General features: G+C 44.2%; 1 annotated feature.

The window, feature by feature from the left end:
* Nucleotides 1,975-2,475: an enhancer, noted in NCBI's record as "H3K4me1 hESC enhancer chr16:47752345-47752845 (GRCh37/hg19 assembly coordinates)". NCBI's record gives its function as "activates a minimal SCP1, AML or CMV promoter by ChIP-STARR-seq in naive H9 embryonic stem cells {active_cell/tissue: H9 hESC(naive)}" and the evidence as "EXISTENCE:reporter gene assay evidence [ECO:0000049][PMID:30033119]".

The raw sequence follows: 16,916 nt of genomic DNA, 5'->3' as shown, positions 1-16,916 counted from the left end.
AACTAATCACTTAATTATTGAGTTGTAATCATGATTATTCCTTCTACTTCCCTGAAAGAATAAAGCATGTATCATGAGGAGGCCTCTGGTCTTGGGGTTTCGATAAGGCTCTCAGCAAAGTGACATTTGCACTGAGAGCCGATGGCGGAGTAGGAGAAAGCCAGGCAAAAGGAGTGAAGTGAACAGGAGGAGGTAGCAAAAACACAGGTATAAATTAGGCTTTGTGGTGGATCTATGGAACTGAGAAAAGGACATTGAATTTTATTTTAGAGCAATGGGTTTTCTATTGTTTAAAGAGTTTTAAGTTTTCCTGGCTACTCTCATCCTCCATGTCCAGATTTTCATTTCGAAAAAGTATCTCCTGCTGATGGTGAGAGAACGGATTGGAGGGAGGCAAGCATGAAGGCAGGAAGATCAGTCAGGAGCCCATCACAGAAGTCCAGCAAGGAGATGAGAGTGGCCTGGATCAGGACAGTGGAAATGGGGGCAGTGAGTTCATTCAAGATTTATTAGGAACAGAACTGAAAGACCTTGGCAATTGATTCACTGGGAGGAGTGATGACTTCCAAATTTGATGCCTCCACTGCTGGGTATATGGGTTACAGAAGGAAAACTGGAAGAAAAGTAAGATTTTTGAAGTTGGTAGAAAGATCACTAGGGTTTGTGACCAAGCAATTAATGGGTTCACTGTCCAATGCACAGAGGCCAATACCATGGCACTGGCTTTTGAGAAAAGAAAAGTTTTATTGTGAGTCAACCAGCAAGGAGACAGGAGGAAATGCTCAAATCTGTCTCCCCGGCCTGGGGTTTTGGTTGGGTTTTATAAGTGTAGGTTAATGAGGTGTGATCTGATTAGATCTCACAATGAGGTGATGTTGGGAAGAATGATCTGACTGGATTCTGCCATGGGGTGACTCTAGAGCTCGATCTGATTGGATCCTAGATCCTGCCATGTGGTGTCCACTTAATTCCGTCCCCACTCCTTCACCCAAGCACTTAGGTTCCCCCTTTGGCTGCACATTTGGTTCATCTGGGCATGCTCAGGTTATATGACCTCAACCCGGAGATCCATGGCAAATGAAAAACAACTCACAGCTTTGTCACAAAAAGCCAAGCCAGATTGGTCTGGTGTGGTTACAGGCTCAACATTGGATATGTTGACTGAGCTGTCAGGTAGGTAGTTGAATATGACTCTGATATCAGAGGTGAGATCTGGGCTGAAGAAATAAATGTAAGAGTCATTGTTGCACATTGGCCATTGATGTCCTGCAAGTAAATGAGGCCACCCAGGGAGAGATGACAAAGCAGAGAAGGGGCCTCAGGCCAGGTCAAGGGAAGCTCCAACATGTCAATGGTAAATGGAAGAGGATGTGCTGGTAAAGAGGCTGAGGGAGAGCTGCCGAGAAGGAGGAGGTCAACCAGGAGCATGTGATGACCTGGAGCCAAGGGAAGATGGTATTTTAAACGGTGAGAGGATATTTGTTTAAAAGCTGCTGAGAGATGAAGGCTAAGAGAATGTCCTTTGAACTTGACGACATGAAAATTATTGGTGCCCTTAGCAAGAGTCATTTCAGTGACAGAGCAGTTGGTGGAAGAATGGAGGGAATATGTGCAGACAACTCTTCTGAGAACTGTGGCTGCACATGGGAGGAGGAAAATGGCCTGGATGGAGGGCCATGTGGAGTGAGGGAGGAAGGGTTATTTTAAGATGGGGGTGATATAAGCAAACTGTAATGCTAATAGAAAGGATCCAGTGAAAAAGCGGGTAAGAGAGATGACTGCTGGATAAGGTGCTTGAGATGGGGGAGTGGGGCTGAGACCCCAGCACATCCACAGGAACTGGCGTTAGTTGGAAGGGAAACTTGCTTTTGCCTGGTGGGTCCTAGAGCAACAAACCTTGGTTTCACTACAGCCAGCACTGAACCCGGGCCACACTGGAGACAGAGATGTTCTCCAGAAGCCTCACTGGACATCATCTGCTACTCACCTACTCGCCATGCCACTGGGGGTGGGATGAAAGGTCTTCTCTTTGCCCCTCACCAAACACAACTCCCTCTTTCTCTCTTGCATTAAACACATGTTTTGACAACAGGACATCAGAGGTATCCAGGAACCTCATGGATGGAGAACCTATATCTACCTCCTGCCTTCTTGCACAGCTGAGACTTCAATTTATGCCTCACATATCAAAATACCCTTTCTCGATGCCCCCTGCTCCTCAGAGTTCAGATCTTCTATCCTTCACCTCCTCGGGATAGAAATAAATGGCGACACCACATGGTGTGTCAGAAGTATCATATCCCTCCAGAGAGGCAATGTCACCCCAAAACATCATTTCCCCAAACACAGCAAGACTGGCCTTGAAAGGGATTGTGGCAACAGAAGAAAGTGGCTGCTGCCTGACTCCGTACCCCACTTCTGGTTCATGGGGTTCATGAAGCCTCAAGCCTGAGCTGTGCGGGGGGCCACTCCCCATCATTTCCACCTGCACCCACCACTGGGCACACTTTGGCCCGGCCCTGGCCACAGAGGTCAAGTGCATTGGCCTTCCATGCAGCTGCACCATGGTCAGGCAGGGGCAAGAACTGAGCTGGACATTGGGCCACAGGTTTAGGAGGAAGGGAACCACCTGGGCCCCAGAGCAGGAACCCAGTAGTTGTGAGGACATAGGGAATGATGCCCGGGAAGGGTCCTTGAACGGGGAACTAATGTGGTGAATTATTGTAATTGTTATTTTGGAATTTTTTCTGCATTCTCCTTTTTTAAAAAAGTTATTGTGGGTACAGAGTAGGCATATATATATTTATGGGGTACATGAGATAGTGGTGTGTGCCTGTAGACCAAGCTACTTGGGTGGCTGAGGCAGGAGAATGGCTTGAGCCCAGGAAGTCAAGGCTGCAGTGAGCCGAAGTCAAGGCTGCAGTAAGCCCAGGAAGTCAAGGCTGCATGATAATGCCACTGCACTCCAGCCTGGGTGACAGAGTGAGACCTTGTCTCAAAATAATAATAATAACAATAATAATAGGCTGGGTGCCATGACTCACACCTGTAATCCCAGCACTTTGGGAGGCCAAGGCAGGCGGATCACCTGAACTCAGGAATTCAAAACCAGCCTGGCCAACATGGTGAAACCCCATCTCTACTAAAAATACAAAAATTAGCCAGGCGTGGTGGTGGGCACCTGTAATCCCAGCTACTTGGGAGGCTGAGGCAGGAGAATTTCTTGAACCCAGGAGGCAGAGGTTGCAGTGACCCGAGATTGCATCCTTGTACTCCAGCCTGGGTGACAAGAGCGAAACTCAGTCTCAAAATAATAATAATAATAATATTAATAATAACAACAACAACAACAATAGGTCTTATTCATTCTCTCTAACTATATTTTTGTACCCATCAAGTGAAGTATTAACATTGGGAGGATTTGGCAGAGATTCCTGTGTGGGAGGGCTGAGGTCAGCCCAAGGCCCATGCGATCACTCTCCTTCATGCCAACATGGACATATTAAAGTCAGGCTCCCACATGTACAACAATGCAATGTCTGTTAAAAGATTCAAAAATGATCAAGCTTCATTCTTCTGCAGCGTGTGATAGGATAACCACCCTGCAGACCTGCTGTCTTATGGCAAGTAAACTTCGATAATTATATACCATATATTAAAGTGTTATAATACTTTTCAGGGTCCTTTCTCATTTATGATCCTAATTTTAGACTCTGATTAGGGTCACTCCTGGTTCCTCTGCTTCTGATGAGGAGAGGGAGCTGAGAGATCTAAGGAAGAGCACCTGTCCTCCAGTTAATGGGAAAGCGCGGAGAGGGAAGCTGGCCGTTTGCTTCACCTCACACTCCGCACTCCTGCTCTGGGCCTCTTCTCAGTTAACAGAAAAACCAAACTCTATACGATGTTTTAAAGAGGTTGATTCTGACCAATAGGAGTGACCACGGCTCAAGGAAATACAGTCTCAAGGAGTCCTGAGGAAGTGAACCCCATGCGATTGGATTACAGTTCGGTTTTATAATGAGGGAGGCAGGAGTTACAGGCAGAGACATACTTCAGCACTGGGAACCAATACATTGGTTTGGCCCAAAAAGGTGGAATATCTTGAAGCAGGGGCTTAGCGGTTATAAGTGGATTCAGAGATTACTTGATTAAAAGCGTAAGGCTCTTTCTAAAACTTGGAGTCAGCAGAAAGGAATGTTTTAAATTAAGATAAGGATGCTATGTAGCAATATTGAGGGCCTGCAGGTATGACTTAACCCTTGCCTTGCATGGCCTTAGATCTTGTCTATAATTTGGTATCTTATTGTCACAAAGAGTCCATTTTGCTAGTCTTATGATCTCTATTTTAACACTAATGCTGGTCAGCTGGGTATTAAAAGGGAGAGGGGATAATGAGGTATGTCCAGCCTCCCTCCCCATCATTGCCGGGAACTTCTTTTTCTTTTTCTTTTTTTTTTTGCAACGGAGTCTTGCTCTGTCGCCCAGGCTGGAGTGCAGTGGTGCAATCTCGGCTCACTGCAACCTTGGCCTCCCTGGTTCAAGTGATTCTCCTGCCTCAGCCTCCCGAGTAGCTGGGATTACAGATGTGCGCCACCACGCCCAGCTAATTTTTGTATTTTTAGTAGAGATGGGGGTTTCACCATGTTGGCCCGGCTGGTCTCGAACTCCTGACCTCAGGTGATCTGCCTGCCTTGGCCTCCCAAAGCACTGGGATTACAGGCATGAACCACCACGGCCGGCCCAGGAACTCCATTTTTAAGTTTTTTTCTGGGGTTCTCTTGGCCTAGGGAGGGTTTGTTCCATCATTAAGGGGCTTAGGATTTTAGTTTTAGTTGACAAATCCCAGGAAGCTTTCACAGTACAATGTATTTAATCAAAGAGCTGTGACTAAGCTCTATCAAGGATATAAGGGGCCAAGCCAAAGGAAGAAGGAATTGTGTTGGGATCATCCTCCACCTCCACAGCAGAGAAAATTAATGGCACAGTCCCTGATGCATTTGAGAGAACCACTTAGCTAACTGCTGATTCTGCTAGTTCAGGTTATTTACTTACCCACTCAACAGAAGTTGAAAAATCACCTGTATTATTAATTTGCCTAAAACCTTCCAGCTTCAGAATGTGACTCAAGCTATTTTTACAAAGCAAAGTTGGAATTCTAAGCTTTTTGCTTACAAATTACTAAAGTCATTCATCAGCTGTTCACATAAACGCCAGGCTTAGAATTTTTTTTAACCTTCCATTTTTCAGATAAGATCAACATGCACAGGTTTACTGAATTGCTCTAATTCTGATTGCACACTCATATAAAACTACCAAAACAGCCTTTAGTCCCTTTCCTATTTTCAGTCAATCAGATAATTCTATCTCCCTTTAGGCAAATCCCATTCATAATAGATATTTATTGTCCAGTCTCTCTCTCTTTTTTTTTAAATCAATTAGCAAGCATTTATTTAGCCTCTACGACATGTTCAGCTCTGTAGTGGGCACCGGGTGAAGACACCCAACTTATTTAGCCTTTATTGGATACTGAGCTGAATCCAATAAAGTAGAAGCTGAAGCTTCTACTTCAGCTAAAGAAAGTGCTGACCTTCTGAATCATTAATTCGCCAGGGAATCATCTGTGGTCTATAATTGTATGGAGTTACATGGAATCCCTGAATTCAAACATAAAACCCAGTAGAAACTCTAGAGTTCTGGAAGACAAGAGGAAACAAGAAAGGAAGGACTGAATAAGACAGAAGGAGAAGTGCATTTCAGACAAGGGGACCCCCCAAAGTGTGTTTGTTTTGAAGGCTGTGAATAGCTGGGACTGACTCATAGAGGCAGAAAATAGGGAGCCAGTGAAGGTTTATGAGTGAGGTGATTATAGATATTCAATTCTGCTGCAGTGGATAGAAGGTTTTCCTGACAGAACCCTGACTCAGTTGTCAATGAGAGCTGTTCTAGTAGGCAGCTCCCTCATGTAGGGAACAGATAGTGAGACTCGAGTCCTACAAATGGATGGGCAGAGGTCGTAGTACTTACTGGTGGGATAGATCCCCTTAGCAACAGGAAGTCACCTGCTCATCCTGTCAGTGGAAGAACCCAGGAACAAAGGAACCCGCAAGGATATTTGGGGTATGGGAGAAAAAGGGAAGGGGCACATTCATTCCCGACAGTATCGATGTGAGCAGTCCCACCGTTTGATCACGCGTTCCTTAAAGGATTCTAAACTCGCCAGGATAGCATCATTCTTTTCTAATGCAGCAAGAAAAATATCAGGACAACCCAGTCTAGGTCACTGTTCTTTTTAGTGGGGCCCGGGGAGGATGGGGACTGGGAGGTGGACTCTAAGGTGAAAGTAAAAGGTGCCATCCCCTATAGAAGATGTGCTCCTCCAGGTGCAGGTCTGAGTTGTTAGGGACTAAACCTCTGGATTCAAAAGAACCATCCCGCATGAGTACAACCCTGGAAATGCCAGGGCCTGCATGCAGTCTCTGCCGCACACCTCCCCGACCCCTCTGTGGTGCCCCTCAGGGGTTTCACTCCATGTGGGTCCTCACCAGGATCAGGGCAGGGCACAGCTTGGGAAGAAGCCCCTGTCTCTCCTCCTAATCATGGCATACAAAATGCATGGTTTCAACCAAATCCAGGTTTTTCTTTAGAAACCATGGATCTTAAAAGGTGTTGAGTCCTGGACAGGAAGAGATGTTTACAAGCCCTTCTGTGTTTGTCAATCAAAGGTGCCATGCCCATGGGAAGCAATGACCCGAGAGACGACTCCCCCAACCAAATCTCTGGAATTCTAAGGACAGCCATCCTGAACTGGGCTCAGGAGCTCCATTAAGGATGCGGAGGGAAGATGCAATGGAGCAGAGGCAGAGGCAACAGAAATAGAAGAAAGTTTCCATTCTTAGAACAGGGGGGCTGTCAGGCAGGGCACGGTGGCTCACGCCTGTAATCCCAGCACTTTGGGAGGCTGAGGTGGGCGGATCACCTGAGCTCAGGTGTTTGGGACCAGCCTGACCAACATGGTGACCCCGTCTCTACTAAAAATACAAAAATTACCCTGGCATGGTGGCGCACGCCTGTAGTCCCAGCTACTTGGGAGGCTGAGGCACGAGAATCACTTGAACCCAGGAGGCAGAGGTGGCAGTGAGCTGAGATCACACCACTGCACTCCAGCCTGGGAGACAGAGCAAGACTCTGTCTCGAAAAAAAGAAAAAAAAAAATGAAGAACGGGCAGACTGACTCTCCCTCCACTGAGGACACCACTTTAGACTTGCTTTTTCTTAGCCATTGTTGTTGTCGACTAAAGACAAAAATTAAGCTTTTAAAGAATTAAAGTTAGTTTTATTCAGAAGTCTTAATGAGGACAATAGGCTGAGACCTAGGGCCCAGAGCAGATGGGTCAGATTGCTCCAAACCAGTTTCAGCCACAGCTTATATGCAAGTGGCGGCGGTTGAGTATGTGCAAAATCACGTCAAAGTTTGGATGTGAGAGTACATCTGGTTCTAGATGACTACCCTTTCAGACGTTATCTTATGTGCAGGCAAAGGCAAAGGTTCAGGTTATTTATCTTTTCAAGGATGTAGTGACTCAGGGAGGATGTGGGTGGCCGCGGGCTCTGTCCTGCCTTGTCCTCAAGGCATTGTTCCAGAGGACTGCATTTCATCACAGTGAGGGGTTCAAGCAGAAATGAGCAAACATGGCTTTTTATGTTTGCTATCTTGTCTCACAATTGTCATTTAAAAAAAGAATACAGAAGTTAAAAAATAAACCAAAAGGAGCTGGTCTAAAAGGTAAGGCAGATTAGTGCAGGGAGTTCAGAGCCCAGATCTGGAATCCTGCAGACCTTGGCTCTAACCCCCGCCCTGCCACTGGCCTGGCACGGGCCTGTTTAACTTCTTAGCTACTCAGCTTTGTCATTTCTCAAACAGAAGCAGCAACAGTCTCTTCCTCACAGAAACGGTGTCAGGGCTAAATGAAATCAATCACAAAAAGCGTTTAGCAAAGATGGAGCCAAAACTCCTGACGGACACTGGGCCAGGTGTCCCAGGGAGTGGGTGGCCGGGCCCCGGGCAGGGTCTGACAGACACTGGGGTTAGTGTCCTGAGCAGTGGGTGGCCAGGCTCCGGGCAGGGTCTCATGTACTCTGGGGCTGGTGTCCCAGGCAGTGGGTGGCCAGGCTATGGGCAGGGTCTGACGGACACTGGGGTGGGTGTCCAGGCAGTTGGCGGCTGGGCTCAGGGCAGGGTCTGACGGACACTGGGGTGGGTGTCCCGGGCAATCGGTGGCCGAGCTCTGGGCAGGGTCCCATGGGATGCATCTGGCTCCCTGGCTTTTCAATTTCTTCCTGGGGCTGCAGCCATCCATTCCTCTGAACTGAAAGCTGAGTCCTAAACCACATTATCTCTTTGTCTCATTTGTGGGTTTCGATGACAGACAGTGAGACAGGCAAGTGAGCAGTCCCCACTCCCTGTTGGGGAACTTTCTCCTGGTTTGAGCCAGATATCAAGTGGGTGGTTACTGAGAAACGAAGCCACTGGGTCCTGGGAGTGGGAGCAGAAAGGAGATGTCAGATTCCGAAGACAGAAGACAACAATAGGACTTGGCAATTGATAAAGAAGGATATTAAGTATTAGTGCAGGTTCTGGGATAATGGGGAGGCCATAGAGAAGAGACCTTAAGTCCAGAATGGAGAATATCTGTATTGGGAGGAAATAGCAAGTTCTACAAAATTTGGATAAGGGGTTTGATGAAAGATAGTAGGACAGATAAGTGCAAGTTTCTGGTGGTTAAATAGCAATACAGGATCCATATCTATTCTTATCTATGTACATGTGTCTATACATCAAGATGTGTGTGTGTAGGAGTTAGCATAGAAGTGAAATTTAAGACAAGGGAATGAGAAGCTCTTCGAAAGACAGACACAAGGGAGTGAAACACTTAAAGGAAAGGGGATGCAGTTACAGAAATGGAAGATGAACTGATAAAAAGGTAGAGGTGGAGGGGAGCATTGCAAAAATCCAGCCCAATTCACTCACTTAAAGGATAAGGAGACTGCGGTTCAAAGAGCATCAGTGATTTGCCGAACAGTCGACCATGTCCAGAAAAAGGGAGATATGGGGCCTGAACCCATATTCTCAGACTCTCAGAGAATTCTCAGACTCTGTCCTTTCCCACTGGAGACCTGGACATGGCTACTTGCAAGTGAAAGTTAATTAATGTTGATCACCAGGATGAAATTGGTGATCATGAAGGTCTAAATTGGCATAAAATAAACTTATGGGTCAAGAAATTGTGAATAGTAAAAATGTGAATACACCTTTTCCTTTCACATAGGTCAATAAACAAACACACACACATAAAAGCAACACAAGAAAGAATTTTTTTTTTTTTTTAGACTCGGTCTGTCGCCCAGGCTGGAGTTCAGTGGCGCAATCTCGGCTCACTGCAAGCTCCGCCTCCCAGGTTCATGCCATTCTCCTGCCTCAGCCTCCCGAGTAGCTGGGACTACAGGCGCCCACCACCATGCCTGTCTAATTTTTGTATTTTTAGTAGAGACGGGGTTTCACCATGTTAGCCAGGATGGTCTCAATCTCCTGACCTCGTGATCCACCAGCCTTGGCCTCCCAAAGTGCTGGGATTACAGGCGTGAGCCACGGCGCCCGGCCAGAAATCTTAAAACTAAACAGAATCTTGTTAATTGAGGGCAGATTAATGATTTCAATGGCTGGAGAATCATTCCGCTATTTTTATTTATTTATTTATTTATTTATTTATTTTGGAAAAGGAAGTTGCAGGAAAAAATCAGATTCAAAGCATCTCCTTTCTGCCTGGATTCATCCTGCTGTTTTCAACCCAGAGTCTTGTAGGAAGTTGTCCAGAAGGGAAACGATCGTGCTGCAAAACTTCTAGGTCATGAGCTGTGCTTTCATAATTTGCAATGTCTCTATCAAAAAACAATTGAATCTGAAGAACCAGAAACACATGTTGCATGAAAGGTTCCAGATTACAGCTCCCACTTTCAGCCTCAGAAAACAAACACTTCTCTAAATGATCCCAACCCTTCTGAACCCATCATCTTTACTGGTGGCTGAGCTGGCATTTGAGCCAAAATTGCCACTTAAACCTGCCCCATTTAGTTCACTGTACTGATTGCATAAGATGGGACCGTTAATTATCTACCTCACATTCTGTTTCTCCTCCACCATGGTAGGGTGGGCACTTGACAGTGGGCGACTGATGTTACCGAGTTTCTTCACTTTCATTTTATGGTGGGATCTCAAAGGGAATGAAATACACTCATGCTGGGAATGTCCGGGCTTATTTAGTAGCTCTTAGTGCTTTCCACAAGATGGAACTGGGGTCTGCTTTTTCTGTCAGATATGCCTCAGGTAATCTTTTAGCAAGAAAGGATTAAGCCAGGTTTCAGAATAAATACACTTCTCTCAGAGCCGCAAGGTTGCCAGCTTCCTCATTTAGGGAAGCTGCTCCCCGTTGCCCCCATTCTGTTTTCCACAAGATACCGTACCTGTCACAGAGGAGCCAAGGCTACTGTAAACGGGGTCACAGGCCGGGTGACAGCGGGTCGCTCCAGCCCTACCCCGGGATTCTCAGCTCTTGGAAAACAGATGAGCCTGTTTCTTCATGAAGCACCTTTGAGGCAGTCATGTCACAAGTTTGAGAATTTTCTAATGTTACTATGTATCATTTAAATTTAAAATTTAAAATGTCTTCTACATCTGTGATGACTTCCTCTTTTGAGCTCTAATTTGGTGACTTGGAATCTGACTGTTGAGTCATTTACTACTTGTGAGACCTTGGGCAAAATGCTTAAACCCCGTGCCTCAGTTTCCTCATATGCAAAATGAGAATAATAGTTCTTACCTTATAAAGTAGAGCTGATATACATAGGGCACTAAGCCCAGCACGTAGTATACTAGGTGTTCAAAGCTATTATTAGTCTCCATCATTACTCAATTAGGCTGACTGGGGGTATAGCTATCTAACAGTTTCTTCAAAAAACAGGTTTTGGGGACTAAATAGTTAATGTCTACTTGAAAATTGCTAAAGGAATAGACCTTAAATGTTCTCACCATTAAAAAATGTGAGGTGATAGATATGTTAATTAGCTCGATTCATTTCACATTGTACATCATAAATGGATATAACTTTTGTTAATTACACCTTAATAAAACTGGGGGGAACCCAGATCTTGGATTTATTCTGTTTTCCTGTTATTAAATTTGTTTCACTTTATCATTTTCATTCTTGTGCTTATGTTTACTTTGTCATAATTTTAAGTTTTTTTTTTTGAAATTAACATTTAGTCAATTTATTTCCATTCTGTCTTATTTAGTACGACATTTAAAGCTGTGGATTTCTTCTCTGAATATGGTTTTAGCCATCTTATATATAGAAATTCGATCATAGTCCAGATATTCTGAAATTTTAGTTTTGGTTTCAATTTAGAAAGGAATTTCAAAATTTCCAAAAGGTTGGGTTTTGTTTTTTTCTATTTTGGATATTAAACTGTAGATTTTTTTTCTTTTGTTTGACATAAGAGAATGCAATCTGTACTATTTCTAATTTTGCAATGCATGGAGGCTTTCTTTGGCACCCAAAATATGATCAGTTTCAAGAAATGTCTCAGGGGCAATAGAAGATACAATCTGTTTGAATATGGAATTAAATGGAATCTTTGTTTGGATATGGAATTAAATATTTATATATTAATATGTAACAATAATTACATATTATTCCCTTCCTCTATATCACTATTTATATTCATGGATTTTATTTGTCATAGGTGTTATATTCCCTCTGATTATGTTTTTGTTTCTCTTTGGATTTGCAGGTACTTGTATGTGTGTGTGTGTATATATTTAATTAATGTATTTATTTATTTGAGAGACAGGGTCTCTCTCTGCCACTCAAGCTAGAGTGCAGCAGTGCGATCATGGCTCACTGCAGCCTCAAACTCCTAGGCTCAGGTGATCCTCTTGCCTTAACTTCCCTAGTTGCTGAGACTACAAGCTCAAGCCACTGCACCTGCCCACTTTATATATTTTGATACTTATACTGTGTAAACTGCTAGAACAAGTAGACCCTTGCCTCCCTGACCCAAATAAATATAATAGTTTACGCTTTCCGTTTCCTATTTTAGATCGAATTAAACAAATCTTTGAATTCTTTCCATCCAGATAAGTGGGATACAGTTTCTGCCTTCTGCTAGAACCCTGGCTCAATTGTCAATGAGAGCTGATCTTGTAGGGAGAGTGGGTGTGGAGAAAAGAGAGACAGCCTCACAGGAGGCTGGGCTGAAGCCGTGTGGCCATCTTCAATGCCATCACCTTGGTCATTGTCATTCCAACCTACGGGGAAAGGGACAAGCACAGAGGGCAGGCAGGAAGGTTTATGGGCCAGGCCTGGGGTGGCACTCACCTCTGCTCACATTCCATTGAAATCCCAAGCAAATGCAGGGTGTATCTGAACGGCTATATACTTACCTATAATTTTGGGTCATGCAAGGGGAGAATAGGTTTTGGTGGACAGCTAGCAGTTTCTGCCAGAATGCTGTTTTGTGTTGTATAGAGATGTAGGCCATTTACATTCTTGTTACAGATGCACACTTTTTTTTTTACCTTTAATTCAATGCCGTCTGATATTAAAGTGGAGAATCCCAGTTATATTGGATCTGGAGACTGTCATTTCTCTATTTTTTTATCTTGAGCTATATGGTCAATTTTGTGATGCATTCTCACCCCTTCTGGTAATTTAAAATTACTTAAAAATTTAATTTTTTTTTTTTTTTAGAGGCAGAGTCTTGCTATGTTGCCCAGGCTGGCCTTGAACTCCTCCTGGGCTCAAGTGATCCTCCCACCTCTGCCTCCCAAGTAGTTAGGACTACAGGCACATACCACTCCACCTGGCCACTTTTGTATTTTAAAGGATAAACTTTAAAAACTTTTAATATTTTGATTAACTTTAAAAAACAAAGTGAATATTGACTTCTTGCTGTGAAAGACAAGGAAATTAGCTCACTTACACTGGCCGCTCAGCCCCTACTGAGTTGTCAACAAGCTCTAGGATTTTTGTCCCAGCCCATTAGTTATATTATTTTAAATTGTGAAGCTTGTTTTTCATTTTTACATTCTTTGCTGTAACTGTAAATCTCATTATTAATTTTAAATTTTAATGGAGTCATAGTTCATAGTTTTGTTTTGTTTTTGAGACAGGGTCTCACTCTGTGGCCCAGGCTGGAGTGTAGTGGTGCTGTCACAGCCCCCTGCAGCCTTGAACTCCTGGGCTCAGGCAATCCTCCTGCCTCAGCCTCCCTGGTAGCTGGGAGTACAGGCACCTACCACAACACCTAGCTAATTTTTAAATGTTTATTTTGTAGAGACAGAGTTTCGCCATGTTGCCCAGGCTGGTCTTGAACTCGTGGACTCAAGTGGTCTGTCTGCCTCGCACTCCCAAAGCGCTGAGATTACAGGTATGAGCCACTGCGCCCAGCCCATAATTACTTCTTATGTTTTGTGTCTTCTTGGTTACTATACTCTTCACATCAATTCTCTTGGTTGACTGGATTTCGTCAAATATTATTTTCAAGAGAGGCTTGCAGGTGTTATGATTCTTGAGTCCTTGCATATTTTAAGAATTCTTCATTTGCCTTTATAAGTATTTGGGGAAAAAAAATCTCAGGTCACATTGTACAACATTGAACTGATGTGGAGAAATTGAGTGATAGATGACTTTTTTTGGCATAAACTTCTCCAAGTAAATTCTCCCAATGTATGTTTCAATGTTGCTCATTCTGTATTAAATTTTTCTGAAACATGATGTGTTCTCCTGATCTGCAGATTTATTTATTTAGGGAAAACATCATTTACTTGAATTTTTTCTGTGCCAGTCTCGTATCCTTCTCTACCTACCAGTTTTCTTTATGTTGGATCAACCTTGTTTACCCCCATCTCTATTTTTTGTCCATCTGATCAAATATTCCCTGATCAGAGGCCTTCCCACAACCCCAGGAAATCTAATAACCTTTGTCACTCTTTCCTCCTCATCCTGCCTTATTTTCTTCCATAGCATTTATCATCAGTACATACCACCTATGTCCTCACCCCAATTAGAACATAGCTCCACAAGGACGGGGGATTGTCTTTTTGTTTGTTTGTTTTTAACCCTGTGCCAGAACAGCGTCAGGTGCATATAGATGATGCTCAATAAGCACTTGACTGAATTATCTCAAGGGTTCTGTGTGTTGGCAACTCAATTTTTAGCTGTGCGTATTTTGTTCTTTGCTGTTTCTAATTTATGAAACTCATGTCCTTAGCTCTAAGTTTCCTTTCTATTTTATTGTAGTGTCTCATTTTGTCTTTGACTTGTTTTTTCATTGATCCTTTTTCTCTTTAATTTCTTTTAGACTATAGGGCATTTGATGTGGAGGATGTTCTATTTCCTAGAGTAAATTTTCTTTCAGAATGGGTTCTATATCTATCTCTTTTTTTCCTGTAGCATTATTTACATTGTTTACAGGCATAAGGCTGGGTATGGTGGTTCACACCTAATCCCAGCACTTTGGGAAGCCAAGGTGGGCAGACCGTCTGAGGCCAGGAGTAAGAGACCAGCCTGGGCAACATAGTGAGACCCTGTCTCTACAAAAAATAGTTGATGGGCAGTTTCTCTGCATCTTTCTCATGGTTGCACAGCAGCCTTGTGGGTCCCCAGTTACAGTGTGGGTGGTCTTTGAAACTCTCCCACCCAACCTGAACTCTTTGGTCTTCTCCAAGCTGCTTCCAGCCGAGTCCCTTCCTCTTAGACAATAAGACACAAGTCAGGAATATGCAGTCCTCAGAGGACAGAGAACTCAAAAAGTACCAGCACAAGAACCAACCGAGCAGAGGGGAAAGGGACTGACGGACAGCCCTGCCCTAAGTTCCCCACTCCCGTGAGGAGGAAAGCCCCAAAGCCACCTGTTTCCCCCACTTTTCCTCCCTGTCTAGGAGGAGAGGAGGAGCAACTTCTGGAGAGATGGGAGTGAAGGAGGTGGGATTTATCCCTGAGGCTAAGCATTTCTGTCACAAGTGAAAAAGTTTACCCTGTTTGGCAGAACCACCCACATTGGAAGATGCTGTCCTTGGAAACAGGATATGCCCTGGACTAGACAGAGTGAATTTTGTCCAGTTTAAAACAACATTACAGAAATAATAAGAAGAGGGGACAGTCAACTCCAATTACCACTCCTCATAAGCCTCGCCCTCTCAGGTAACAAGAACCAGGTCAGGACCAGCTCCCAGACCACCTGCCATTGGAGACAGTGAGTTCTGGGGAACCTTGCTCCTCATCTGCCTCCCTCCCAGACAGAGTCAGAATGCCACTCCCAACAGCTTTCCGTTCCTTGGGGAGCAGGACTGAGACAGTCATGAGGTCAGTGCACTGCACAAGGGAGCCAATGAGAATGCAGCTGGGGGCTGAAATCCAGTTTACTCTGAGCCATGTGTCCTGGTGTGGGGTTGCATCTGCTCAGAGAAAGGACCTTTCTCTGTACAAAGGTGCCACTCACTCACACACAGGACTGAGCGTGGGCTGGCAGTAGCCCTGCTATATGATGCCGGATGATGTTATGTGTGGTGGGGGAGGAGCTTCCACCTTGGAGAAACACTTTCTGAATTTTCCCCTAAGTGCCGACTCAACAGGCATCTGATTCCCTCCAAATGCATTTGATTTTTCACAAATTAACTAACCTTGTCCTCGCCCATGCACAGCTTCTAGGAAGCCAGAGTATAGGAGCCAAATTCTAATTCTAGTAGGTCTTTTGTCCGCTGCTGCTTTTCAGAGTTTATGGTGTGAGGCTGTACTACCCGCTTCCTTTGTTTGAATGCTGCCGGTATGGTTTTGCTGGTCCATTCTGCCTCAGTTTTCATTCATGTTTTTAGTTTCTGAGACGGAGGACTTTTATTATATGGCTGCATACTGCTATATGCTACTTCCAACCTGTCCTGGATTTAAATGTGGTCTTTCTGTGCTGCTATAACTGTTGCCACATTGTGAAGTGTGAATATGCACTTTCATATGCCATCTATTTAATATACATGCTCATAAAGGCTTAAAGCATCTGCATCTACTGTTTTTTTTTTTTAAGAGGCAAGAGTCTTGCTCTTTCACCGAGGTTAGAGTGCAATAGTGTGACCCTAGCTCACTACAGCCTCCAACTCCTGGACTCAAGCAATCCTCCTGCCTCAGCCTTCTGAGTGGCTGGAACTACAGGAGTGAGCCACCACACCTGGCCCTGAATTTACTGTTTAAGAGTTTTGGTGAAAAGCTAAATGTATTCAGGTGTCCAATAAATGTTATTTGGTGTGAATAAGGCACCACAGGCTTATAACATATTGAAGATGACATCAAGTTGATCCCACATTCTGATTTTTTAAATAATTTAAATTCTGGGATACAAGTGCAGGATGTGCAGGCTTGTCACATAGGTAAACATGTGCCATGGTGATTTGCTGCACTTATCAACCCATCACCTAGGTATTAAGCACCACATGCATTAGCTATTTATCCTGATGCTCTCCCTCCTCCCCACCCCTCTGACAGGCCCCAGTATGTGTTGTTCCCCTCCCTGTGTCCATGTGTTCTCATTGTTCAGCTCCCACTTATAAGTGAGAACATGCGGTATTTGGTTTTCTGTTCCTGCGTTAGTTTGCTGAGGATAATGGCTTCCAGCTCCATCCATGTCCCTGCAAAGGACATGATCTTGTTCCTTTTTATGGCTGCACAGTATTCTGCAGTGTATATGTACCACATTTTCTTTATCCAGTCTATCATTGATGGGCATTTGGTTGATTCCATGTCTTTGCTATTGCAAATAGTACTGCAATGAATATAGGTGTGCCGGTATCTTTATAATAGAATGATTTATAT

The sequence above is a fragment of the Homo sapiens genome, chromosome 16 (assembly GCF_000001405.40).
Source record: "Homo sapiens chromosome 16, GRCh38.p14 Primary Assembly".
NCBI classification, from domain to species: Eukaryota; Metazoa; Chordata; class Mammalia; order Primates; family Hominidae; genus Homo; species Homo sapiens.
Note: the sequence above shows the minus strand (reverse complement) of the source record. Positions and strands in the feature narration are given on the sequence as shown.